We start from the raw sequence: 23,500 nt of genomic DNA, 5'->3' as shown, positions 1-23,500 counted from the left end.
CTTGGCTCGCTGTGCCCTTCCCCTCCCCAGCAGCCTTCTGGTGGGTACTGTTCAAATTCAGCAGCCACAGGGACATGGGGGCCCCCACGCAGCACTGGGGGCTGAGCCCAGGTGGGCCGGCCCTGAGATCCTCGACTGGGGCTGCCTGGGATAGAGCAGCTCCAGACACTTGGGGACACGAGATTGATTCCCATATTGCAGGGGACATGGGAGGGGCCCCTGGAATGTGACCTTTCCCATGGGGCGGGACAGGCGGTGCCTTCACCGGGGGAAGGCCGGCGGATGAGGCAGCAGAAGCCTTTCAAGTTTCTTCTCGGCTGTCTGCATCTGCCGCTCACAGAGAAAAATGACTGTCTTCCTGCTCTGGATTTGGCTGTGGTACCTGATCAAATATTTTGGTACCATTTTCAGGAAGATGAGATGCTATCTGGGGCACAAAGGAGTTAATATTCAAAGGGCTATTGTGAGGGTGTCCACGGACTAAAGAAGGAGCTGGGGAGGCTGCTTCCTCCGCCACTCGGGCCCCTTGGAAGCTGCTCCCAGGTGCCAGGGACAGAGAGGCTGCTCCAATTGGCAGCTGGGGCCACCATTTCCCCGTTCCTGAGGCCTTGGGTTTGGGAGCTGTCCCCACTCTGTCCTTAAAGATTGGGATGAGAAGGTGAGAAAGGGCACAGGCAGGAGCCCTTTCCCCTCAGGAGCCGTAGGAGGCCAGGGAGACCCAAGCAGCCGGGATCCTGGGCTCCTCACTCACACATGTGTACACGCATGCACACTCACACCTCACACACACATACACTCACACTCACACCTCACACACATACACTCACACACACTCACACACATACACTCACACTCACACCTCACACACACATACACTCACACACTCACACCTCACACCCTCACACACACTCACACACATACACTCACACTCACACCTCACACCCTCACACACATACACACACACTCACACCCTCACTCCCACATACACTCACACTAACACACACACCCTCTCTCCTACTCACACACTCACACCCTCACACCCACATACACTCACACTAACACACACCCTCACTCTTACACACACTCTTCCATACTCTTACACACACTCACACACTCACTCCCACGTACACTCACACTAACACACACACTCTCACTGTTCCACTCACTCTCACACACAGCCTCACCCCACACTGACACTCTCACACACTCTTCCAGGCCCCATCAAGGAAGAGCCTTCGCAGGTGTCAGACTTTGCCTAAATCTGCCGCCAACTCTGTCAGGCTGCGTCTGCTCTTGGCCCCGGGGGACTGGGCATTCTCAGTGAGAGTGGGGGTGACACTGACTCGGGGCTGGGACCCCTTGCCCTGGTCCTGCTGGGTGCACCCGTGGATGTGGTTCCAGTAGCTTTTTAAACATTCACTGAAGACAGAAACAGGCACAGGATGCTGCCGTCCACCTGCTACCAGGGTGCAGGGCCCAGGTGCCTACTGAGGGGGTCCCAGGCATTGAGGTGGCAGGGGGGATGTGACCGGGCTCCTGCCCATCCCAGGCCCTGTCCTGCAGGGTTTCTGGGGAGGGTGGGTGCATGTGGAGGGTCCCAGCACAGCCCACGCGCAGGCCCAGGCAGGGGACAGTGCCTCCGGGGGGGATGGCGAGGCTTCAGCAGCACCCTCCTGGTGGACTGAGCCCTGCAGGTTCTGGAGGGTGGACTCCACTGTTTTAATGCGGCTTGTTCTGGCAGCTCAGCATCGCCATGTTCCATCAGTGCTGGTTGGTGACGGAACCCACAAGGGGCCGGCATCTCTGGCTCTGGCCTTTGAACCAGGGCACAGTGGCTGGTGCGGGAGGGGCCGGCAGCCTTCTTGGGGGGTTGGAGGCACCGTGGGCCAGAGGCACTCTGCATCCTGCAGACAGCTTCAGTTTGTTCTTGTAATTGAAGCTTTGAATGTCATCAGCAATCAAGTCCAAAGTTCTCAAACTGTGGTCCCCACACCAGCGGCATCGCAGGGCTTGTGAGAAATGCCAGTCTCAAGCTTCACCTGGATCACGAATTCTGGAGTGGGGCCAAAGACCTGTGTTCAGCAAGGCCCTCCAGGTTCAGATGGACAGCAGAGCTTGAGAGCCGCCACCATGTCGTGAGTTGCTTTAGTTTAGTCCTATTAAAACTGCTTAAGAAACAGGGCTCTGGGGCTGGGTGGGGGCTGGACAGAGCAATAGAGGAAACCCCTTGACCCACGTTTGGGTCACAGGTGCTGCTGCTGCTCCAGGCAAGGGATGTCTGGCTGGGTCTTGCTAAAGCAAAGTGAGCAGCCGGTGCACAGCAGAGCCCATGGGAAAGGCCCCGTCTCAGCTTCGCCAGCTCAGGCCGGGAGGGCTCTCATGTCCCTCGCGGGACGAGCGATGATGTGGCCATACTCAGCCCTGGGCACGGCCTGCCTGGAGCTGTTGCTGAGCGGATGCCTGGGCTCTCCCTGAGGTTTAGGCAGATCTTGCTTTCCAGGGTCTTGTTTGGCTCATTTACAAACGAGGTGGAGGAGCTCCCATGGGTCCTAAAAGGCTCCACACAGGGTCACCTGGCCTTTGCCCCTACCATCCTCTGCCAGGCACGAGCTGAGCTGGCCAGTGGCCATGGGTGGTGATGGGCCTGAGGGATACCGGGCCCACGCCCCTCCCTGCCCTCGGCCTCCTCCCCAGACCACAGTCATCACAGTCCCTTGCAGCAGAGGATCAGGGATGGGACCTGACCCAGAAAGTCCCAGGGAATCCCCAGTGGGAATGCTCACAGTGAGTTCCCTAGAGCTTAGCTCTGCCTGAGCAGAAAGGAGGCAAGAGTGAGGCGGCTGCTGGCTGTGCAGTGACCCCAGGGCCTGGCCTGGGAAAACTCCAAATGGACACTCACAAACTTCTGCCGCATCTTTGTGACAGCTAGTCCGTGTCTCCTGGGAGGAGAAGGAAGAAAAACACTGGCTCATCTTGCCTCAGCAGCTGCTGTTGAGTATGTAATTAACACACACACACACACACACACACACACACACAAAATGAGACCCAAGCACCGCAGCATTGCAATTGCCCCTTCAACAGTTTCCCAAAATAGTGTTGAAATCTATTCAATTTACTAATTACACATTCTCACCATAAAGAAAGGGCTGCAATTCCTGAGCCTCAGCAGATCCCTTAGAATATTTAGAACGCCACTGTAATGTCTATTGTCAAAGTGGGCGGGTGTCGAAGACAATCACCCGAGGTATTGAGTCAACATATTTTAAGATTCTTTTATGGAACGCGTGTTTTCTTGACACAAATTCAGTAATTGCTAAATTGCCAAGTGGTGAGAACGTGATATTGATCCTGGCTGTGATTGCAAAGCTGTCACAGGTGGTCTTCTGCAGAAGGACTGTGTCCTGTGCTCTGAACTCCACCTTTCGGGGGGGCTTCCAGAGCTCCCAGTGTGAAGCTGGGTGAGGCTTCTCTGCTAATGGAAGCCCCTGGAGGAGTGTGGGGAGGGGCACCCCTCAGGCCTCCTCTCCTCACACTCATCCTCTGAGGGGCTCCGCTCCTATCTTCAGTGTCACGGGAGCGGGAGTGAGGTAGCAGATTTGCTAAGAAAAGTGGTAATTATCAGCCATGTGGTGTCTAGCTTAGGTCCCATATGCCTCAAGGGTTCACATGGGTTCCTGCAGAAAGAGGGAGGAACAGGCATGGTTGAGTGCTTTCTGTGCCCTAGGGCCTGCGGTAACATTTTCATGAGCGTTAGCTCGATCCACCTGCCACCCCAATCCTATTGTAAGCTCTTCTTGCTGGCTGAAGAAACTGAGGCTCAGAGAGTGACTTGCTGAAGAGCACCGAGCTGGAATTAGAGCCCGAGCCGGTCCGCAGGCCGGCCCTGACCACGAGCGACCCCGATCCGGTCCGCAGGCCGGCCCTGACCACGAGCGACCCCGAGCCGGTCCGCAGGCCGGCCCTGACCACGAGCGACCCTGAGCGGAGGCCCTTCCCCACCATGGCCCTGCTTGGCTCCCAAGCCACCCATCATTTCCATGGTTTTGATGCTAATGCTTATCCTTTATTATTTTTTGTATTTGAAAAGTTATTTGTTTTTAGTTGTGCAAATTTATGGAGTACATGAGAAATGTTGTTACGTGTGTCTAATGTGTAGTGGTCAAGTCAGGGTATTTAGTGTGATCAAAAGCTCAGGTAACAAAAACAAAAACAGGCATAGGAGGCTACGTCAAACCAAGGGGCTTCTGCACAAGGGAGCAATAGGGTGAAGAGAGAGCTGGTTGAATGGGAGAAAATTATTTGCAAACTATTTATCTGACTGGGGACTAATGTCCTGAATGTACAAGGAAATCAAACAACAGGAAAAAAAATCCCACTAAAAAGTGGACAAAAAGCCTGAACAGACATTTCTCAAAAGAAGACACACATGTGGCCAACAGGTCTATGAAAAAATTCTCATCATTACTAAGTATCAGAGAAATGCAAATCAAAACCACAATGAGATACCATCTTACCCCAGTCAGAATGGCCATTACTAAAAAGACAAAAAATTACAGATGTTAGCGAGGATTTGGAGAAAAGGGAACTCTTAGACGCTGCTGGTGGGAATGTAAGTACAACCTCGATGGAAAGCAGCGTGGAGAGCTCCCCAACACTAAAGCCAGAGCTTCCATTAGATCCAGCAATCCCACTCTTGTAGATCCACCCAGAGGAAAAGGAATCAACATATCAAAGGGATTTCTGCACAGGCGTGTCCACTGCAGCCCTGTTCACAATAGCAAAGACGTAGAATCCACCAGCACTCATTCTCAGGGACGCTGTGCCTGCCTGCTGGCTTGCTGGGGCCCTGGCTCAGAGAGAGCCACGTGAGGAGCTCAGAGAAAGGAAATTATGGGCCCAGGGAGGTGGGGGGCTCAGTATGGCAGGCTGCAGAGACCTGTGGTTCAGTCCCAGCCTTTCCCGTCCTCTGCGCTGGGCAGCATCCATCCTTCCCCTGCCCTGGGAGGCGCCCCAGCCTGACTCTTCTCTTCCTGCTTTTACACCTCCTGTGTGCTGTTCGTCGGCTGACTCTCCTTGGAGAAGGGGTCTGAGACCACCCTGTCCCTGGCCCCCAGCAACTGGCACGGTTCCCAGTGCGTAAGAGCTGCCACACTCATCTGCTGGGCGAGAGCAGAGGACGCAGCGATCAGAGAGCGAACAGGCAAATGGAACGGAAGCTTCAAGGGTACTCACTGCATGTGCCTTTGGAGGCTGCGATCTCAGTCTTTCTGAACTCATTGAGAGAACAGTTGAGGGAATTAGCGTTAAGGAATAACTGCATTTCAAAACTGCATCAACTTTTGAGATACCACAAGATTCTACCTCCATAGCCAGGCCCACGCCTGCCAGGGCCTGGGGCGCCGAGGAGATCCTGGCCCCTTTGCCTCCATCCACCACCCGGGAGGCAGTGCCTAGAGCTCCATCTCAGATGGAGGCGCTTCAGGCCTCCGCGTCTGCTGATCTGCCCTGGGTGTGATTCCACCAGCCCACAGTGCTCATCTCTGCCTTCGTATTCTGTCGACGGTCTGGCCCTCACCACCAGGCTTTCCACGGGGCAGGCCCTCACCACCAGGCTTTCCACAGGGCAAGCCCTCATCTCTGAAGTTTTTGCAGGAAGATCCCAGTTTTCAGAGTCAGAGGTCAAATCACAGGCAGGAGTTAGGCAGAATCAGGTCCTTTTTTTCTTTTTGACAGAGTTTCGCTCTTGTTGCCTAGGCTGGAGGGCAGTGGTGCGATCTTGGCTCATCACAACCTCCACCTCCCAGGTTCGAGTGATTCTCCTGCTTCAGCCTCCCGAGTAGCTGGGACTACAGGCATGCACCACCATGCCCGGCTAATTTTGTATTTTTAGTAGAGATGGGGTTTCTCCATGTTGGTCAGGATGGTCTCGAACTCCCGACCTCAGGTGATCCATCTGCCTCAGCCTCCCAAAGTGCTGGGATTACAGGTGTGAGCCACCATGCCCGGCCAAGTCTGTCTTTTAATTACGAGCGCCACACAAGCTTGTAACACATTTAAACAATAAAAAGGTAAAGGACACGGAGAGTGGTGGTTCCTGTCCTGGTCCCTGCCACTCACACGTACAAACGCCCTCCCGGGACAGTGCTGTCACCCTCTGCCAATGCTCTCGGTTGGCTCCACTGCCCATTTTCTAAAAGCCCCTCCACTGCCCTCTCCCTCAGCGTCCTTTGAGCTCGTGCTCCTGGCTCACGGCTGCACGGGGTGACATGCGTGGCCCTCACCACTCTCTCATGCGTTAGGCACCATCTATCTACTCACAATTCTTCGCTGAGTCCTTGTGGAGTCAGTGTGGAGGTGCCTCAGCCTGCACGAGCGCAGAGCTGCCTGGAGGACTCATGGTTGTGACTGAGACCATCAGAATGGGCGGGAGGCAGATGGCGACCTTCGCCATACCATGAACATGGCCTTGCTGAGCTGGTGAGCTCTCTGCCCTGTGAGCCCCCATCTGGTGCAGGGATGTGGAGCTGAGAGGCTCTTGGTGATGCATCAGGAGCTGGTGCTGGGTCCATGAGTGCCCTCTCCACACCTGGGCCGGCAGGGCCCGCACCAGCAGCTGGCATCCATTCTGACGAGAGAGTTGCTAAGCACGCTGGATACCAGCCACACAGCCACAGAGGCTCTGCAGAGATGACACACAGCCGTGAAGGGCTCCAGAGAGCTTTTATGGAGCTGGCCTTGGGGAAGGAGCAGAGAGGAAGGGTGCGACCCGTGGGGTGCTGGCTCATGGCCCGCCAGGCTGGTGCTGCTTGCTGCAGTGGTGTCCTTCAAGGTCAAACCCCCACCCCATGGTAAGAGCTCCCCGGGGGAAAGGCCACAGGGACATGGATATGGGGAAGCACATGTGGTGTCAGTGGTCAGAGGGCTCTGGCCACAGGGTTCATGTTGGCAAGTTGTGACAGCCTGGGTCAGAGCCGCACTGAGGGCTTTGAACTCCCACTGGAGCTTCTGGTGTCGGACGGTTGTGGTGAGGTGTGGTTAGGAAGATTGGGAGGCCAGGAATTGGAAGAGCAGCTTGAAGGGAAGAAATGTGGCCACAGCCCCTTGCTGTGTGTCCTGAGGGAGGCACTGCCTGGTGCCCATGTGTCAGGAAACACTCAGTCAGGAGAATCCGATCAGGAGAACTCGCGTGATCCGGGAGGGGGTCGTTCACTCGGTCAGGAGAATCTGATCAGGAGAACTCGCGTGATTCGGGAGGGGGACGTTCACTCGGTCAGGAGAATCCGATCAGGAGAACTCGCGTGATCCGGGAGGGGGACGTTCACTCGGTCAGGAGAATCCGATCAGGAGAACTCGCGTGATCCGGGAGGGGGACGTTCACTCGGTCAGGAGAATCCGATCAGGAGAACTCGCGTGATTTGGGGGGAGGATGTTCCTTTCACCAGAGTTTGCATCAGGTGGGTTCTCAGAATCAGAGACCCCAACAGTAAACCCACATCCCTAGTTCCAGGGCCCTTAAACTCACTTCACGTTGAAGCCATTCTATAGTAGATAACTCCCATAGTGGATAACTTCTGTAATAGATAACTTTCATGTCTCTCCCCAGTGAATGTAGCCTACACGACCCACTGGTTCTATCCTACTGATGTGGATTGTGTTGTGGGAAGAATGTTGACTGGCAGCAGGTAACTCTAATAGGCGAGTCCTCTCCAGGCTGGAGCAGAGTGAGACACCCTTGGTCACACACCCAAATTTAAGTCATGCCGTGCACTCCGAGCTGGAGGAGACACAGCCCTCAGCTCCAGTCGGCAGGACTAAGCCATGCTCTGTTGGGCTGAGGCATCCGTCACGTCATTAAGTAAGCTACTGGGAAATCCAGTAAGGATGTTTCTCTGCCTTTTAAATTTTTAAATATGAACAAGGGACATAAAGCCTGCGTTTGTTTCTGAATTGTAGTGTGTTTTCTCCAGGAATTAATTCAAGGAGTAAAAATCTTCCACCGAGACATACGTCAAAATACCAGTAAGGAAGGAATGCTCATATTCTACTTCAGGAACTTTGAAAATGCGTCCCAAACGATAGCTTAACAGGCTTCAGAGTGCAGCGGCTCAGCCTGGACTCCGCAGATCACCCTTGGGTCTGGCTGAGGATGTGTGGGGTAGCTGACGCAACGCCGTTATTCCGGCAATTACAAATCCATCTGCTCCTGGGGCAGCTGTGTGCTGGCTTGGCTGAATTGTTTGCATGAAACCAAACAGAAAAAGTGTTACAGTTGAGTCCAACTTGCAGGCGTGACAGTGACTTCGCTAGCACCCTCCCGGAAGGCATTTCCACACTTCTGTTCAGGGCCTGTCAGAGAGGGCGCAGAATAGCGGGCAGGCCATTTCCACCGGGAGCTTTGCCTTTGCAGTTCAGCACCGCGCCCGCGTAGGACGGAGGGTGGGACAGAGGCTGTCTTCACTCCAGGCTCTGACTTCCATTAAAAAAAAAACAAAAAACAAAAAACACTCACAGGTTTCCTTTCTTAGAAGCAAAGTCCTGATACACAAGTGTCTATCCTGGTCTGTGTTCCTCGAGGCCTCAGCAGCTGGCCCCAATTCTCCTTCTCAGAAGGGACTTCTGGGCCCAGCAGAGGCTTCACCTCAGCCCACAAAACCCACCCTTGTTTTCAGAAGCACCAAGGGTCCCGCAGAGCGCAGTGCAGCAGGTGGGCAGAGCGAGGGGCTCACCCTCCCACCGCCGGGCTGCAGTGGCTTCGCAGCAGAGCGCCAAGCAGCAGGAACCTCTGGAGCTGAATGAACGGTACAGCACAGGCGCTGCCTGGGACCCTGAATGCCGTCCAGAGGGGCTGCTGTCTCAGGATCCCACAGCTGCAGGTCTGGGCCCGGCTCAAAGGGCTTTCCATCAGGAACAGCCCAAGTGGGCTGCAGCCTCTCTGTGGCAGGGAGGGCGTGAGGCCGTCGGGGTCAAGGAGGATGTGGTGTGAGGTGTCTGACTCAGCCCTGAGCTGCCCCCAGGAAGGCACACGGCAGCCAGGCCTGAGGGGACAGAGTCGAGGGCGGACTGTGGGCAAACCTGGCACGGATGGCAACAATGGTAGGCGTCGTGAGGCAGGGCCATGCCAGGAGAAAAACCAGGGAGCCAGGGAGACCTCGTCTGAAGAAGCTGCCAGGGAAGGTAGACTTGAAACTTTGCATTTTCCCTTTGGCTTTGATGACAGGAAACAACTTTACCTGTTGAGCTGGTGCCTTTTCTGTAAGCAAGTTCTCAAAGCCCTTCCAAGTGTTTTCCGCCACCTGGACTGAGGCTTCTGCCCCAGCTTTGACAGCCAGGCATCATTAGCAGGGATATTAATGTTTTGTCAGGGCTGTTCTATGAGATTCCGGGTGCCGGGTGTCCTCCAGACCAGACCCACCTGTGGGACTCAGCGCTGTAGCCCCTACTCCTAAGAAGCAAGTCTGAAGAGGGCCGTTCTGCCAGGCAGTGGCAGAAGCCTTGGCAGGTGCCTCTGCACCTGCCCAGTGGAGAGGCTGAGCTATGTCAAGAGGGTGGCAGGGCTGCTCCTCCACTGTGCGTCCTCGCTGACCGAGGGTGTGTTTCACAGCGGTGATGGGTGCTGACTGAGGATGTTTCACAGCGGTGACGGGTGCCAACTGACTGAGGGTGTTTCACAGGGGTGATGGGTGAGACTGACTGAGGGTGTGTTTCACAGCGGTGATGGGTGAGACTGACTGAGGGTGTGTTTCGCAGCGGTGACAGGTGCCGACTGACTGAGAAGTCCTACAAGCCTTCTGCTCTGAGCCCAGGCCTAGCTGCCAGGTGTCAAATCAGCTCATACTCGGGGCGTTTCTGAGCTGCTCCTTGGCCAGGCAGAGCTGCGGGCCCGTCAGCATTCACAGGGCACCCCAGAGGCGCCAGGCACAGCCTTATGACCCAGCATTTTGTTCAACATGGCTCTCTTCTTGCTTCTCACTCTATCTGGCTCTGGAAGGGAATTCTACATGAAGAAGAAAGCATAGGTGGTTGTGCAAGTCAGGTGATGACTTCTGTTGTCCGTTCTCCATCCCAGCCCTGCAGCTCATCAGCGTGCTCTTCTCTCTAGGCTGACAGCCTCTCGGATCCAAGGTACGTACAAATGCAAGGCCCGATTCAGGACCAAAAAGCACTCTGATGGCTTGGAAGAGTGGCTCGTTTCTGAGGTGGAGGCACAGAAGTCTGGAGGGACTCTGTGTGTGGAAACTCCTGTCAGGGCAGCTGCCCGTGTTCCCCAAGCACACGTTGTACACAGAGAAAGCCGTGTGGGCTCTGAGGCCCTCCAGACAACAGAACAGGTTGCCTGCCCAGTTTTGTCATTTGGTGGCTCCTGCCAGGCCACAGGGCCCAGGGGGAGCCCAAGAGCCCTCTTCCCACAGTGTAGGGCCTGGCAGCTACCCCTTCCCAGGGACTGCGCTATCTTGGTGGTTTTCTCCTGGCCCCGCTGGACTGTGCTGAGGTGACAGTGAGGCAGGGAGGCACACCTGGGACGGGGGCCTTCTAGCAAAGAGACAACTGGTGTCCCATACTTCTAGCAGGTCCGCATCCTGGCAGAATGTCCTGAAGACAGGAATGGAAATTCCCTCAGAACATCTCCGTTGTCTGGGCTCTCCCATCTCCACGGTAACACTCCAGGATGGTCTGTAATCAGGAGGGGGCTGGGTTGCCATGATTCAGGTCTGAAGCCACTCCCAGAGCGGGAAAAGCCTCTGAGGATTCTGGAGGTCACACCTGCCCAAGCCCGTTCCTCCACTCTGACAATGGGGTCCCTGGGAGGTGGCCCTGGGAGCCAGATTCTTAAGGGAAGAGCCAGGGTGAGAAGCTCTGAACTCTTGAGGGAGAATCTGTGCCTGCTCTGCTTGGCAGGGCTGAGTACACCCCCAGGGCCTAATGAGAAACGCCCTTGACGGATGAATGATGAAGGAGGAATCACAAACCAGCTAATGGCCATGTGCTGTGTGAGCCTTTTCCAAATTCTAGACTTGCTCTACCATTGACGGCCACTTCCAAGCTTATAGGGCCCTGCCTTTGCGAGTAACCACACATGCGTTGTTTCACGTCTGCATGATTGTATCCATAGAATAAATTCATAGGAATAGAATTGTTAATAGAATTGCTCGACCAGGTTTCACATGCATTTGCCATGCGATGGATGTGGCCAGTTTTCTGTTCTTCGAAGAGATGGGCTTTATGTAGCCTTCACAACACACAAGAACTGACTGCCCACACCCTGGCCCTGAGCAGGGCTTTGTGAGCAGGTTGAGCATTTTCTTCATGCGGTTAAGAGTGCCTTATATTTTGTTTTCTGTGAACTCAGTTGAAATCCTTTGCTTCTTTTTACTTATTGACTTACTGGTCTCTTTCTTATTGATTTAAATATTTGGAAATGACTGTTTCTGGTATTAATTGCAAATTTCTTTTTCAGCTTGTTATTATCTTTCAATTGACTCGTGGTGGTGTTTCATTCTAGGCAGAAGGTTTTATTTTTGTGTCATCATATTTCTTAGCATTATTATGGCTTCTGGATTTTGTCTTGTGTTTAGATCTTCCCTACTCCAATGTCATAAAAAATTCTCCCATGGTCTCCTCTTTGCTTCTTTTCTTCCTTTTTTTTTTTTCTTTCTGGGAGTTACACCTTTGCTCTATTTGGAATTAATTTTGGTGAAGTATAGAACCAACTTCATAGTTTTTCCAGGAGACTACCTAGTCAACATCATTATATGAATATCCTGTTTCCCCTCATGATTTGAATGTCTTTGTCTTATAATTTGCAGTATTTTGAGGTCTATTTCTATGCTTTCTAATTATTTATTTGCCAGTAACATATTTTTAAATGGACATAGCTTTAAATGGAATTTTATAATATGTTTTGAGATCTGATAGTAATAGTTTCTCTATTATTTGTTTTTTCTTTTAGGTTTGTCTTATGTATTCTTAAATATTTCCTTACACAAATTTAGATTTAGCCTGTCTGGTTTTTAAAAAGTTAGCCTTTTAACTGGGATTGTATCATATGTGCAGAGACTAACTTTGCAAAAATTGAAAGTCTGTATACCTGCTTGGCTTCTGCCCCGTCTGTGCACATCCCTCCGAGGCAGGGCCGTTTTCACATTTCTTGCTAACCTTGTTGAATTATATTTTTGCATATTTGTTTGCAATTGCTCCTTCAGGGTTATCCAGATGCACAATAAAATAATCTATAAGTAATCATCACTTTCTCTGCTCCTTTCTCATTTTTGCACTCCCAGTTTCTGTGCCTTAATTGCATGAGATGTGCCTGCAAAGCAGTGAGAGAATGCAGCCTGGAAACTCTGAGTGTCTTGGCCTCCTCATGGCTGTAGGGAATGGTCAGGATGAGGCAGAGGTCATTTATCCTGTAAAAGAACTATTCATTCCTTCCCATTTTATCATGAACATTTCAGTCTCTACTTCAAAACACAGAGGAGGATGTTGACTTCCATCCACTGTTTGCCAGCATTTCTAGGGCTGGTCATACTGTTTTTCTCTTTTGCTCTATTAAATGGTGATTTATATTAATAGACCCAATACTGAGTCATTGCTACTTGCACTGGGCAGAACAACCCACCCTTAGTCGTGGTGTGTAATTCTCAACATGCCGCTGCGTTTCATTTGCTCATATTTTATTGGGCCTCTTTATATTGTTATTGACACATTAGGTTGGTTGGTAGTTGTTTTTTTTTTTTTTTTTTTTTTAAGCTGGTCTCTTTGGTGGCAATGTCATGCTGGCCTGACAAAAAAATGTGGAAGCTTTCCTTCTATTTTTGTTTGGAGAAGCTTAAATACTGTTGGACTAGATGGGAAATGGTACAGCTGAAAACTGACATTTTCCATTCTTTAGCCAAGTAACCTTGAAACAGGTCTTTTAATGTATCTCTGCCAGAAATTAAAATATATATCAGACATTATGAAGAAATTTCAATTTTATTTCAGGTGAGATAATAAAGTGTAAGAGCTGGAGTTTGGTAAAAGCCCAGGGCAGACGTCCCTAAATCCGTTTCGTGCCCAACATACATTTGTCAGTTAATTCAAAAGCTGTCTGAAGGCCAGATTTTAATCATATTTAGGAAACACTCTTGATGCTTCAAAGCTGCAATGACGAATGATACAGAAAACTACAATTCAGTGAGGGACAAAGTCCCTGTTTTTAAGGAGAGTAGCGTCCTATAGAACAAGGGGTCTCATGGGCCTGACCGTGCCCTGGACAGACCTGTGGTGACCCCGCAGCGCGCCTTGCAGGGGCCGGTGGGAGCTGGACTTTTGAAAGGGTAGAATCAAGGCCACGAGGGGTCGCCAGCCTGGGAGGACCCAGGAAGGGGAAGGACAGTGCCACCCGTGCTCACTGTGACGGAGGGATTCTGCTGAGCTCGGGAAGGCTGCACTCCTAAAATGGCCAGTGAGACCCAGGCTCCTGACGGAGGACGGGTCACTTTTACAAGGAAACTTTTAAAACAGATTTTGCAAAATTCTGGGGGCCATGAGCAGAGAGAGTGATGACACCTGGGTCCAGGCCGTCTCCATTCCAGGCAGAGCCGTGATGGGCGGACTCTAACCAAGTGATGGCTTCTGTTTGTCCCAGATGGAATCTTTCAGAGACACTGACTTCCCAGGGAGTTTGTGGGGTGTGGGCATTCTGTGTCACCCCACTTCTGCTCAGCATCCGGTGACAAGAAGGCCCCAGAGAGCCTGGAGCAGAGCCTGGCCTCCGTGTCTGACCCCAGCTGTGCGGCAGGGCCAGTGACTCAATCATCTCAGCCAACAGCAGACAGCCTGGGGCCTCTCTTCCTGGGAGAGAGGACGCTGGCGTGCTGTGCCCCTTGTGATAAAATGTCGTGGTCCCTGTGGACACAGAGCTCCCTCACCTGTGCTGTCTGAGACCCCACGTGGCCTCCACATGCCATGAATGTGCAATCCACATGCCCTGAGACTCAGCATTCTGGCACTCACACCAGTCCTGTGCAGAGCAGGGCCACGCTGCTATTCTTAGTCCCAGGATTCCAAGCTCAGACAGGAGTGAGGAGGGCTCCCCACAGACATGTGCTACCAGACTGTGAGACGGTGGAATAAATAGAATCTAGACTTTGTGACGCTCAATCCCAGGTCTCGCTAAAGAAAAGAACGAAGGCTCAGTTTGGCACTAGTGTTGTGCCTCAGCCTGTCCATCTCACACTAGGGTTCATCTGCAGGCCTTTGGCCTCAGCACTTGGCCGATGTCCTTAGCGGAGAGGAGGTGGTTTGCCTCCTTTTGGGACTGCCATGAACGGGCTGCTGCAGCTTCCATTATCAGCTCCTCAACTCAAGCTAAAAACTCAGGAACTCCCTCTGGGGTCTGGGATCAGCAGCAACCACCCCTCCGCAATTGCAGTGCACCCTAGGTCCCTTCCGGAGCAACTGAGCAGAACGTCTTCCTGGGACTGTGGTCCATGGACGGCCCTGCTAACAGCTAATTGCAGCCCATGTGTCCTCATCACACCAGGTCTCCAAAACGGGGGCACAGATGTCCACTGCCGTGAGGTGGCTTCTGGGCAGCTGCTGCCCTGGACTGGGAGGCTGAGAATCCTCAGCCCTTAGACTCCAGCCTGCAATTTGGGAAAAAGGTAGTGGCACCAGGTGAACAAGAACGTGGCACCAGGTGAACAAGAACAAGCCCCCACCCAGCTCTCAGACTGGTCAGCCATATTCCCAGCTCTACCTGCTCTGAACTTTGGGGAGAAGGGCTGGACTGGAGGTGGGTGAGTGCTGAGGGAAAGGAGGTGGGAGAGAGGTGAGAAAGGAAAATGGAGAAGGGGAGCCTGGCCTCCCAGCTGCAGAACCCCCAGGCCCAGCCTGCTCCCCACAGCCTGCTCCCCCAGCCCCAGACCATCCCTCAGCCTTCTGTCCCCCCAGGTCCTTAGACCACCTCCCAGCCTGCTGACCCCCCAGCCCCCAGATCATTCCCAGCCTGCTCCCCCAGCCCCAGACCACCCCCTAGCCTGCTGACCCCTAGGCCCTCAGACCACCCCCAGCCTGCTCCTCCAGCCCCAGACCACCCCCCAGCCTGCTGACCCCCAGTACCCAGCCCATCCCCCAGCCTTCTGACCTCCCAGCCTCAGCCCACCACCCCAGCCTGCTTCCCCAGCCTCCAGCCCACCCCCCAGCCTGCTGATCCCCAGCCCCCAGGCCTCAGCATCCCCCACCCAGCCCCATTCCAGAGCACAGATAAAAGTGAAACCTGAGCAGCAAATGTTTGTGGAGCCGCCGCCAATCAAGGGCTTCGTTGCCAGGGTAACCGGGACACTTCATCAGCTCTGTGAACAGATGGTCAGTGAGTAACAGGCAGCATATGTTCCCGTAAGCCCTGACACGGGCACAGATGGAGGGTGGGCGGGAGCTTCTCCTCCCTTCCCATGGGTGCGGCATTGCCGAGAGGCACAGAGGCCGGGGAGCCCGCGTGGTGCTGGTGAGTGCGGATTACTAACACGCCAGTGCCACTCCCAGCCTCGCTTAACCAGAGCACTGCACAGTTAACAACAGCCAGGCACACAGAGCTGCGTGCTGAGGCTGAATCGCAGCCAGGAATCCTCATTAGCAGCCTGCCCACCTTCCAGTGTCACTATCTCAGGCCTCCGGTTTCTGTGGATGTTTACAGGAGAAATCAAACTGCCCTTTACAGGATCAAAGGAGAATTAGATGCCTTTCGGCCATGGAGGTGGGATCCCAGAAGGTTCGGCCTCAAAGCCGATCAAAGTCAATATACACAGGTTCGCGTGCACTGGCCACTGGCTACCGTGACATGTGGTTCGTCTCTCAGACCTTGTATTCCCTGCATTTGGTTTGGCCCCTCAGAATGAGGTCCCCAATCTCTCCACCATCACCAGCATGAGGATAGCTCAGGGAGAAAGGATATTGGTGATTACATCGTTGATTGCCAGCATGATTGCAGCAACTGCCTTTCACTGAACATCTACTATGCCCAGACCCTGGATACACCTCTAGGATCCCATCTCTGCCAGCCAGCAAGGGTGGAGGAGGTGTCTAGCCTGGCTCTGAGTTCCAGGCCCAGCTGGGCTCCAGGAAGGCCGTCTTGTGGTCACAAGCCACAGGGCAGGCCTGGCTGTGTCTGCACTGGGGCTATGTTGTGGCCAGGAGAAGCCAGGCACCCTTTCTCTTGGGGACAGTCTTGTCAGCTTCAGAGAAGCCCTGGGCTCCTTTCTTCAGTGTCTGCTGGTCCTGGGTGCAGCTCTGTCCAGAGTGGGCACAACTTCCCAGCTCCCATTATATCTCTGGTCTGTATTCTCAGGCTTGTCTGTGCTCTACACGAGTCTGCCTGGTTCACCAGGCCTCACAAATTCACTGCTCACTGGTACCCAATACCAGCACAGAGCTAACCCTCTGGGGTCCTGTAACAATCTTCAATTGGATCCTATCCCATCCCAGGAATGTCCACAGCAGATTTCTGCTTGGGCTGGATGCGTTCCAGTCCTGAGCAGGACCCTGCCCTGTGGAGAGGCCTTCAATATTCCGCCTCTAGGTCAAATGCGGTGGAAATCCACCTGCAAGCTCAGAAGTTATTGGGAAGAGGCCAGCAGGGGCAGCCGCTCGACAGTTCTCCTTTCCATAACAAATCAGGTTAAAATCTGAAGGAGTAGGCTTGACTGACCAGAGGGATAAATCCAGTTTGTATAGAAACAAACACCCTGGTGTGCTTTGCAGAGAGCCTGGGGGCAGAGACAACGTTTGCATGAATGGGACCTGCTAGGTCCGCTGGTGCCAGTGAACAAACTACCATGAAGTGCCCAGACAGACAAGCTGCCAGGAAAGCCAGGAATTTCCTTCCACCTCCTTTCTGCTTGACTTGGTTTACCAACGCTGTACATCCAAGAGAAAAAAAAATTAATGTGCATTTTCTCTTCAGGCACTTGTGTGAAAAACATCCGTCTTCCTGTCGTCATCACTGAGTGAGCCCACGGTCACCAATCCCTGGGTCACAGCTCCCCAAAACCAAGAGAAACAGCCAGCGGGACAAGGCCAGGGCAGCCCTAAACATGCCACATCACCCCAGTGCTATGCGAAGGAAGCTTCAGGGGCATCTTCAAGGAAATGTGTGAATCTGAATAAATTTTACAGATTAAAACTTTTACAAAATTTATAAAATTTTAATCATTCCAATTAAGCATTTAGAACACTACTTGGTTAGTGGGAAATTTATAGCTCTAAATGCCCATCCTCAAAAGAAGAAATGCTTAAAATCAACGACCTGAAGTTCCACCTTAAAATGCTAGAAAAAGAAGAGCAAAAGTAACACAAAGTAAGTGTTAACAAAAAATAAAGAACAGAAATCAATGAAATAAAGAGCAGATGACAGAGAAATTTAGCAAAACCAAAAGTTGGTTCTTTGAAGGGACTGGCAAACTTGATAAACTCCAACCTAGACTGATCAAGAAGAGAGAGAGCACATGTTAGCAAGACCAGGAATGGAGGAGGGTCATCATAACAGACCCTACAGGCATCAAGAGAATCAGCAGCAGATGGTCGTTGTCTGGGCCCCAGCTCAGACTAAAGAGAGCTTTTTGGACAGAAACCTGTGTATCAATTGTGATAGTTACACGAGTATTTCCATGGTATTTCCATTTGTTAAAGATGCAAAATTTTGTTGGATGTATGTTATACTTCAATGAACTTGATATCAACAGTAAAAAGGTTTTCCTGCCTTCTTAAACAGAGACAATTTTTCATGTTCCTCTGCTATAAATTCAGACATTCATTACACTTCGTTCTATTTCCACACACTGTGGAGGCCCTTGGGAGGTGAGTGCTGGTTGCTTCTGTCACAGTGAATGCCCATAGCAGGGGGCAGCTGGGCCCATCCTCTCCCTGGGGTCAACCCACACTTTTCCTTGGTGCCAGCCCTCACCCTCCAAGCCTCTGGTATGTGGCTCCCACCAGCTCCAGCCTGGGAAGCCATGATATTGACAGGGTTGGCTCTGGGGCTGCACAGGCCTCTGAAGGAGATGGGTGTCCCTGTGCTGTCGGGATCAGGTGCTCTGAGTGGGCCTTGGAGTCACTTGTGCTTTCCTCAGGAAGTAGCCACACTTAGGAGGAAATGGAGGTTGTCAGATGAATGACTGAGGTGCCCTTTGGGGTCCACTAGGCTCTGGGATCTCTCATGACCAGACACATATTTTTGCCTTTGTTTAGGCAAATAGAGCCATACACATAATTATTTCAGTTGGGCCAAATCTGTAAAAGGAAAAAAGAAAGATTTAAAAACTCTCTCAGAATGATGCATTTTGGGAACTGGAATTTTACAAAACCCAATCAAATATTTGTTGGATACCCACTGTGTGGAAGTCACTGTCTCAAGCCTTGTGGGGGACACGAAAATGAGCAAGGCAATCCCCTGCCCTCAGGGTCTCACAACAGCCCAGCCAAGGCTGTGAATCTCCCGTGCTGACAGCCGGGCCTGAGCCTGGCGTGGGGGAGACCTGGGGATGTTCCTGGGGAAAGGCGGCATCACCTGTCAATCTCCCGTGCTGACAGCCGGGCCTGAGCCTCGCGTGGGGGAGACCTGGGGATGTTCCTGGGGAAAGGCGGCATCACCTGTCAATCTCCCGTGCTGACAGCCGGGCCTGAGCCTCGCGTGGGGGAGACCTGGGGATGTTCCTGGGGAAAGGCCGCTTCACGCTGAGGCCTTTAGTGGGCAGGGAAAAAAATCTAAAGATATCTACCCAGCTTTCAACTCAACGTCCAAAAGTACTAAGGCTCGTTTCAAGTTAGTTTTTTCTTCCTAATCAGGCTTGTGTTGTTCGCAGTTTCTCCGCCCCTGGGAAGTTCACCTCAGTAGATGCTCAGCTGTGCTGATGCCAGGCAGCCCTCGTCCACCCAGAGGCGGCTGGGGGCGTCGACTTTTGCCCACCGTGAAACCTGCGCTCTGCCCACAGGGCTGGCTGTCCTGCGTGCCCGCTGCGGTGGGTTCCAAGCTGCAGGAATGACGACCGGAGTCTGGTTCTCGGGACCTGCCCCTGTCTTCACCGCAAAGATCCGCTTCAGGTGGAGGGAATGCAGGGCTGCTGTGAGCCCGTGGGTTTCTCCAGAGGACTCTGAAGTCCTCCTGGTTCCCCAGGGTAAGCACTTCTTTCAGACACGCGCACAGCCAAATAGGGTGGTCAAGGTCATGGTGCTGCGAGTCACTGCGGCCTGCCCCACCCCCTGCAAAGTGCTGTCTGAAGCAAACCCCAGCCTTCCCTCATTGACGTGGCCCCAGGTACTGTCCCCCAAGCTGTGCTGCCTTCCTGGAGGCTCAACCTGGAGCTTCTAGAGGCTCTGGGAACCTGATGAGGTTGCTATGTGGGAATGCAGATGCTAAATTTAGCCCTTCCCGTCTCAATCCCGAATTCCAAAGCAAAGATCGACAAGTATTGCCAGTAGATCATGACTCCAGAGCATGTGGTCCAGGCATCCGTGAATCCTCAGCCACAGGATGGAGGGCAGCAGTGACCAACGGTTGCATGGACAAAGTCGGGACATGGAGGGTGTTGGGGGAGGGGAAGCTGCGGGAAGACCTGCTGCACCCACAGACCTCACAGACGGCTGGGGTGCCAGCTCTGCACGGCACCGATCGACATGGACTTCCAGTCCAGCCACCCTTGTCTGTGTTTCCCCAGACCTGAGCCTGCAAGGACAGAGCACACTCATCTCCTCCCTGCTGTAACCTGAGCTCCCCATCAGCTGAGGTCCAGGCCGGGACCAGCATGTCAGGCTGAGTGGCTAAGAAACGGGAGCCCAATTCCACACTCAGGGTCTGCGACCGGAACTAAGACAAGGGGAGTGTTTGCAGAGAGGTGCCTTATTTACCTGCAGAGGGGCCACTTGTCTGGTCTCTGCAGCCACCTGTGATTTCTGGACCCTATTGGACAGTATTTTTGCTATGGCTGCTGTAATACATTACTACATACCTCGTGGCTTAAAGCAACACAAGTTTATTACCATACAGTTCAGGAGGTCAGGAGTCCAAAATGGGTCTCACTGGGCTAAAATCAAGGTGTCGGCAGGGCTGGTTCCTTCTGGAGTGTCCAGAGGAGAACTGTTCCTGTCTTTTCCAGCTTCTAGAGGCAGCCGGCCTTCCTTGGCTCATGGCTGCATCACTCCAACCTCTGTTTCTGTCTGGCCCTCCTGCCTCCCTGTTATGAGAACCCTTGAGATGCATCAGGGCCCAGCTGGATAACTCAGGACCATCCGATCCTCAATTTAATCACACTTGCAGGGTCCCTTTGCAGTCCCCAGTCTGGTGGGGACAGCACCAGGGCCCACCACTTGCCCCATGTGCCCCACCGGCTGCCCCATGAGCTTGCCATGCTCCATGCTCTGAGCTGTGTGTAGCGTTGAGGCAGGCAGAGCTTGGCGACCAGTGGCAAAGACAATGGGGATGACACCATGGACAGCAAGTAGCAAGGTACTGGGACCACACCCCGGTGCCTCTTCTCTTCCCTTTGCCGGCTCCTTGTCAGAGCCTTCCTGCTGCTCAGTGAGTGGGACAGGGAGGGAAGAGGCTTTCACCTGTCAACAGCAATCAGCCTCACGGGGCCTTGGAGGGCTAATTCCTCTGCAGTTTGCGAGTGTCTGAGAAGACTGAGTGCTGAGTGAGTGGAGAGAAGGCCTGGATATCCCACGCGGCCAGTGCCTCCGCACACCTGGCCCGAGCCACTGTGAATTATTTTATCCTGCTGTTGTCCCCTCGGCACGGATAGTAACTTATTAACTGGCTCCCCATTGTTGCATATATATGCACATAGTTTACTATGGCACATGTATTCCCATTGCAATGCCTACTTCCAAATAAATATCAGTTTCTGTTAGAGAGCCTGTCTCTGTTTGTGGTTTAGGTTTACATAAGTGGTGTCTAGAACAGAACCTGAAGAAAGATTGTGATTGGAAGGAACTGGTGATTCTTAGAGCTGGTGTGTAGTTCTCACTTGAGCCCTCTGAGCTCTCTGCATCTGCCACTTGCTTTTCTACCCTGGTGAGTCTTCTCTCAGGCAGAGCCTCACTGCTTTTTGGTAGTCTTTTTGATTTCATAGGAGTTTGTTTTGGTGATAAGGCCACCTTTAATAACGGACCTTACATCCCTGCTGGGGTGATAAAAGACCTTTTGTCTTTTCCAGCAAGTCCTTTCTGGTATAAAGTGCAGAATCTCCATTCCGTCTCTGAGGCATGTCTTTTCTAGTGAATTTGCTTTTGATTCTTTCTGTGCACCTAATTTAATATTTTGTTTGATGTGGCTCTTTTCTCTTGCTTATTTCTGGAAATCTTCTAAGAGCAAAAACAAGCATTCTAAATGCTGGACCCAGGATGGCTCATTAAAAGCCACTAGAGTGGTTGCCACTATCTAAAACGCTGGTCCAGACTCCCGACAGTCTCTCTAAAACGCTGGTCCAGACTCCCGACAGTCTCTCTAAAACGCTGGTCCAGACTCCCGACAGTCTCTCTAAAACGCTGGTCCAGACTCCCGACAGTCTCTCTAAAATGCTGGTCCAGACTCCCAACATTCTCTTGAGAGGATTTATAGGATTTTCTTTGCTCTCAAGAGATTAATAAGAAACGGAATGGGATTCTCAAACATGAGGATGTGCCAGGTATTCTGGGACTCCAGCTGGCTGTATTATGGCCCGTTCTCATTACATTTTTAAACTGATGGGCAAATTACACCAAGGAAAATTCAGAGCTGAGTGGTCATTATCTGAACTTTCTAAAACAAATCTACAACTATAGAGTTAGCATTCTAAGTCCTCTATTTTTTTTCTGCTTATGTCCAATCTGCTGACCCTTCTGCTGGTATTGAGATAAAACTCACTGCTTATGATATTCCAGCCAAGGTTCTTTTAAAAAAGTCTTAAAGGGCTTTCAAATTACTGGTTTTACAAATTATAACAGCTCCATGGTAGCCAACAACATAGACACTTTTTGAAAATGTAAATTTAGATTTGCCTAACAGTTGCTTAGGGTGATGGAACAGTTAATTGAAAGACTGATAGTCTAAAAGGAAAGACCTAGATAAATGTTTATAAAAATTAGGATCTGAGATCAAACAGGTCAAAATCTTGAGCTCAGAGCAGTAATATAATTTTTTATATCTCTGGCATAAACATTGCTTTTTCTGTCATGCAGGAGCCAAGGGAAAAAAGCCCCCCAAAACCTGCTAAAATGTTTCCCCACCTGCATTGACCAGTCAGGTGCAAGGGAACCAGACTGCAAACACAAGACAGATTTTTTACTAATGCAAGGCTACTTGGATTTTTTTTTCTTGTATAATTCAGCCAGTTCAAGCTAAAACATAAACATTAAAAATTTAACATTAAACTCATTTGGAACAAACAAACAAAAATGTCTTTTAAAACCAAACTGCTTAACCCAACATTTTGGTCCACAGCTTTCATTAGACTATCAGGGCAAATAGTTTTTGCCATGTGAACAGTTCCCATTTTGTCAGAAATGTAATTTGGAGCCAACTATATTTTATAAACTAGTGAGTTTGTATATTTTACTGTCTCATGACTAAAATTCTAAAATGAAAGCTATAAGAGCTTTGTGTATGTATATACCTTTAGGTGTGTTTATGCACATGTACATGTATTATGTTGTACGTTGTATCTACGTGGTAGTCTGGCATAGTGGGCCAGAAATCCCTAAGAAATTCTATTCAGATTTGCTTAAACAAGTGCTCATATAAAGTACACAGCTATTAACCTAAATGTCTTCTATTTCATGTGACCTAAGTAGATCTTTGATAAATAAGCTGGTTTAAAAATCATTGGTAAAATAAAACTAGTAATATCTTCAAAATTGTGAGTACACATTTTTGCCTGGGTTGACTGGTGCAATAGTTTTATATTTGTCTCTGCTAGCCTGAAACAGAGTGATCTTTGTGCAATTCTTTGATAAATAAGACTAATTTAATATTGTGGTTTAATAAGACAGCTGTATCTTCAAGGTTATTGACAAAATACCCATATATTTAACTTTAAGGTTCTTACTTAGATGAATGCCTGATATTCACAGGCTATAAAAATGGTTAACAGGAAATAACTTGAAATGATGACAAGCTTTGTCTAGTATCTCAGTTTTCATAACTAATCTAGGTAAATTGTTAAAAACAAACTAGGTAAATGTAAATGGAATAAATGCTTATAAATAAGCTTTTCTTGTAATTTGAAATCTTCATATTATGTTAAGTTAAACAACAGATATTCATTAAATGTCTAGGTCATTTCTAAATAAGATTTAAAAACCTGAAACATCAATTGCTAAACATAAATATACATTTGTTCTTGTCTTCTTACATTTTATAGAAAGACTAAATATATTTGGGTTTATTAATATACATAAAATATTATGTTGTATGGAGAAACATATTTTTAAGAATTATAAAATTGTTCTCATCTATAAAATACCAATATGTGACAAATAGTTCAAA

The 23,500-nt window shown here is 51.0% G+C and overlaps 2 long non-coding RNA genes across 2 annotated transcripts, besides 7 other annotated features; one reads left to right on the top strand and one right to left on the bottom strand.

The window, feature by feature from the left end:
- Positions 5,029-5,536: an enhancer, noted in NCBI's record as "H3K4me1 hESC enhancer chr6:170757529-170758036 (GRCh37/hg19 assembly coordinates)". NCBI's record gives its function as "activates a minimal SCP1, AML or CMV promoter by ChIP-STARR-seq in naive H9 embryonic stem cells {active_cell/tissue: H9 hESC(naive)}" and the evidence as "EXISTENCE:reporter gene assay evidence [ECO:0000049][PMID:30033119]".
- LOC124901477 (uncharacterized) lies at positions 5,988-12,246 on the top strand. Its single transcript, XR_007059900.1, has 2 exons — positions 5,988-6,851; positions 7,607-12,246. It is a non-coding gene; the product is annotated as an uncharacterized LOC124901477 (long non-coding RNA).
- Positions 9,854-10,084: a silencer, noted in NCBI's record as "fragment chr6:170752981-170753211 (GRCh37/hg19 assembly coordinates)". NCBI's record gives its function as "represses an EF-1alpha promoter that drives an FKBP-Casp9 reporter gene in an ReSE screen in K562 erythroleukemia cells {active_cell/tissue: K562}" and the evidence as "EXISTENCE:reporter gene assay evidence [ECO:0000049][PMID:32094911]".
- Positions 12,247-12,956: 710 nt separating the features above from the next.
- LOC107986676 (uncharacterized) lies at positions 12,957-17,745 on the bottom strand. Its single transcript, XR_001744494.3, has 2 exons — positions 15,263-17,745; positions 12,957-14,630 (listed from the first exon to the last, which is right to left on the bottom strand). It is a non-coding gene; the product is annotated as an uncharacterized LOC107986676 (long non-coding RNA).
- Positions 13,405-13,983: an enhancer, noted in NCBI's record as "H3K4me1 hESC enhancer chr6:170749082-170749660 (GRCh37/hg19 assembly coordinates)". NCBI's record gives its function as "activates a minimal SCP1, AML or CMV promoter by ChIP-STARR-seq in primed H9 embryonic stem cells {active_cell/tissue: H9 hESC(primed)}" and the evidence as "EXISTENCE:reporter gene assay evidence [ECO:0000049][PMID:30033119]".
- Positions 14,201-15,970: an enhancer, noted in NCBI's record as "VISTA enhancer hs1310". NCBI's record gives its function as "enhancer in: neural tube[4/6] | hindbrain (rhombencephalon)[5/6] | somite[3/6] | midbrain (mesencephalon)[5/6] | forebrain[5/6]" and the evidence as "EXISTENCE:transgenic organism evidence [ECO:0001131][PMID:17130149]".
- Positions 14,692-15,891: an enhancer, noted in NCBI's record as "CDK7 strongly-dependent group 2 enhancer chr6:170747174-170748373 (GRCh37/hg19 assembly coordinates)". NCBI's record gives its function as "activates an origin of replication core promoter dependent on BRD2, BRD4, P300/CBP, MED14 and CDK7 cofactors, with strong dependence on CDK7, by STARR-seq in HCT116 cells {active_cell/tissue: HCT116}" and the evidence as "EXISTENCE:reporter gene assay evidence [ECO:0000049][PMID:35650434]".
- Positions 19,562-19,856: a silencer, noted in NCBI's record as "tiled region #11687; K562 Repressive non-DNase unmatched - State 20:ReprD". NCBI's record gives its function as "represses a minimal TATA promoter and a strong SV40 promoter by Sharpr-MPRA in K562 cells {active_cell/tissue: K562}" and the evidence as "EXISTENCE:reporter gene assay evidence [ECO:0000049][PMID:27701403]".
- Positions 20,011-20,510: an enhancer, noted in NCBI's record as "H3K4me1 hESC enhancer chr6:170742555-170743054 (GRCh37/hg19 assembly coordinates)". NCBI's record gives its function as "activates a minimal SCP1, AML or CMV promoter by ChIP-STARR-seq in naive H9 embryonic stem cells {active_cell/tissue: H9 hESC(naive)}" and the evidence as "EXISTENCE:reporter gene assay evidence [ECO:0000049][PMID:30033119]".

The sequence above is a fragment of the Homo sapiens genome, chromosome 6 (assembly GCF_000001405.40).
Source record: "Homo sapiens chromosome 6, GRCh38.p14 Primary Assembly".
NCBI lineage: Eukaryota > Metazoa > Chordata > Mammalia > Primates > Hominidae > Homo > Homo sapiens.
This window is presented reverse-complemented; position numbering and strand designations above follow the sequence as displayed.